A 3,146-nucleotide genomic window follows, 5' to 3' on the forward strand; every position below is an offset into this window, starting at 1 on the left:
GTCTTGTGGTAAGGGGTGATATTGTGGGGATGTTAGAAGAAACATTTGTCGTATAGAATGATTGGTGATGGCCTGGATACAGTTTTGGATGAATTGAGAAACTAAATGGAATAACAGAAGGAGAAAAACAGGTATAAAAGGTCTAAGAATTGGGACGACTCAGGATATCTGATTAGAGAGTGCCTAAGGAGATTCAGCATAGTCCTGCCAGCAAAGATTATTTATTTACCTCAAGAGTTAAGAGTGATAGTTTGGGGATAGCACCAGGAGATATCAGCTGTGATGGCTTGGAAAAACAGTGTAAACTGGCAGTGTAAACAAGAGCAGGGCATCTATGAGTAGTTGGGAATGGTGAATAGGAGTATGACTAGACAGAAGATAGTAGGGATGACAAGTTTTTTTGCGGGCACAGTCTAAGTTGGTCTGGTGTCTGGAATGAGATTGGGGCCTAATAAAAAGGAGCGTCTATACAGGAGCTCAAATGGGCTGTACCCTGTAGCATTCCGAGGACAGGCCTGAATTCTGAGAAGGAAAAGTGGTAAAAGTATTGTCCAGTCCTTTTTAAATTGGTGGCTGAGCTTGGTGAGATGTGTTTTTAAAAGACCTTTAGTCAATTCTACTTTTCTTGAAGATGGAGGACCGTAAGGGATATAAAGGTTTCACTGAATACTAAGAGCCTGAAAAACTGCTTGGCTGATTTGACTAATAAAGGCTCATCTGTTAACAGACTGTATAGAGGTGGGAAGGCTAAACTGAGGAATTGTGTCTGACAGAAGGAAAGAATGACTGCGGTGGCCTTCTCAGACCCTGTAGGAAAGGACTCTACCTATCCAGTGAAAGTGTCTACCTAGACTAAGAGGTATTTTAGTTATCTGACTCAGGGCATGTTGAGTAAAGCTAATTTGCCAGTCCTGGGTGGGGCAAATCCTCCAGCTTGATGTGTAGGGAAGGGAGGGGGCCTGAATAATCCATGAGGAGTAGTAAAATAGCAGATGGAACACTGAGAAGTTATTTCCTTGAGGACAGATTTCCACGATGGAAAGGAAATGAGAGGTTCTAAGAGGCGGGCTAGTGGCTTGTACTATAGCGTAACCTGCCTTTGCTGGTGTGTGGCGATTAGGCCTGGTGGAACCGCCATCAATAAATCAAGCGTGATCAGGGTGAGGAACAGGAAAGAAGGAAATTTGGAGAAATGGGGTGAACATCAGGTGAATCAGAGAGATACAGTCATGGGGGTCAGGTGTGGTATCAGGAATAATGTGGGAGGCCAGATTGAAGTCCGGGCCAGGAACAACGGTAATTGTGGGAGACTCAACAAAGAGTGAGTATAGCTGAAGGAGCCGGGAAACAGAAAGTATATGCGTCAGGTATGAGGAAGAAAATAGATTTTGGAAGTTATGAGAACTGTAGAGAGTGAGTTGAGCATAGTTTGTGATTTTGAGGGCCTCTAAAGTATTAATGCAGTGGCAGCTGCTGCACGCAGACATGAGGGCTAGGCTAAAACAGTAAGGTCAAGTTGTTTGCACAGAAAGGCTACAGGGTGCGGTCCTGGCTCTTGTGTAAGAATTCTGACCGCACTAACTATGCCTAGGAAGGAAAGGAGTTGTTGTTTTGTAGAAGGTGCTGGGGTTTGAGAGATCAGTCGGACACAATTGGCAGGGAGAGCCCGTGTGTTTTTATGAGTGTTATGCCGAGATAGGTAACAGATGAGGAAGAAATTTGGGCTTGATTGAAGTAATGGGGGCTGTCTGTGAAGCTTTGCAGCAGTACAGCCTAGGTAATTTGCTGAGCTTGATGGGTGTCAGGGTCAGTCCAAGTGAAAGTGAAGAGAGGCTGGGATTAAAGGTGCAAAGGAATAGTAAAGCAAGCATGTTTGAGATCTAGAACAGAATAATGGGTTGTAGAGGCAGGTATTGAGGATAGGAGAGTATATGGGTTTGACACCACTGGGTGGATAGGCAAAACAATTTGGTTGATAAGGCGCAGATCCTGAACTAACTTGTAAGGCTTGTCTGGTTTTAGGACAGGTAAAACGGGGGAATTGTAAGGAGAGTTTATAGGCTTTAAAAGGCCATGCTGTAGCAGGCAAGTGATAACAGGCTTTAATCTTTTTAAAGCATGTTGCGGGATGGGATATTGGCGTTGAGTGGGGTAAGGGTGATTAGGTTTTTAATGAGATGGTAAGGGGTGCATGATCGGTCGCCAAGGAGGGAGTAGAGGTATCTTATACTTGTGGGTTAAAGTGGGGGGATACAAGAGGAGGACACAAAGGAGGCTTTGGATTGGGAAGAAGGGTGGCAATGAGATATAGCTGTAGTCTAGGAATAGTCCGGGAAGCAGATAATTTAGTTAAAGTGTCTCAGCCTAATAAGGGAACTGGGCAGGTGGGGATAACTAAAAAGGAGTGCTTAAAAGAGTATTGTCTAAGTTGGCACCAGAGTTGGGGAGTTTTAAGAGGTTTAGAAGCCTGGCCATCAATACCCACAACAGTTAGGAGGCAAGGGAAACAGGCCCTTGAAAAGAAGGTAATGCGGAGTGGGTAGCCTCCATATTGATTAAGAAGGGGATGGGCTTACCTTCCACTGTGAGAGTTACCTGAAGCTCGGCGTCCGCCGTGATGGTCTAGGGGGCTTCCGAGGTGATCGGGCAGTGTCAGTCTTCAGCCGCTAAGCCAAGAAGATCTGGGAAGGAGTCAGTCAGAGAGCCTTGGGCCAGAGTTCCAGGGTTTCTGGGAGTGGCTGCCAGGTGAGTTGAACAGTCCAATTTTCATTGGGGTCCCACACAGGTGGGACGCGGCTTAGGAGGAATCCCGGGCTGCGGGCATTCCTTGGCCCAGTGGCCAGATTTCCGGCACGTGTAGCAAGCTCCTGTGGGAGGAGGTTCTGGAGGAATGCCTGGCTGCTGCAGTTCAGGCGTTTGGAAGTTCTTGTGTGCTGGAGATGTGGCTGGGGTTTGTCTCACAGTGGAGGCAAGGAATTGCAACTTTTTTCTATTATTGTACACCTTGAAGGTGAGGTTAATTAAATCCTGTTGTGGGGTTTAAGGGCCGGAATTTAATTTTTGGAGTTTTATTTAATGTCGGGAGCAGATTGGGTAATAAAATGTATTTTGAGAATAAGACGGCCTTTTGACCTTTTAGGGTCTAG

The 3,146-nt window shown here is 45.8% G+C and overlaps 1 annotated feature.

The window, feature by feature from the left end:
- Window positions 591–1,092: an enhancer, noted in NCBI's record as "H3K27ac hESC enhancer chr13:66716663-66717164 (GRCh37/hg19 assembly coordinates)". NCBI's record gives its function as "activates a minimal SCP1, AML or CMV promoter by ChIP-STARR-seq in naive H9 embryonic stem cells {active_cell/tissue: H9 hESC(naive)}" and the evidence as "EXISTENCE:reporter gene assay evidence [ECO:0000049][PMID:30033119]".

Source organism: Homo sapiens, chromosome 13 (assembly GCF_000001405.40).
Source record: "Homo sapiens chromosome 13, GRCh38.p14 Primary Assembly".
NCBI lineage: Eukaryota > Metazoa > Chordata > Mammalia > Primates > Hominidae > Homo > Homo sapiens.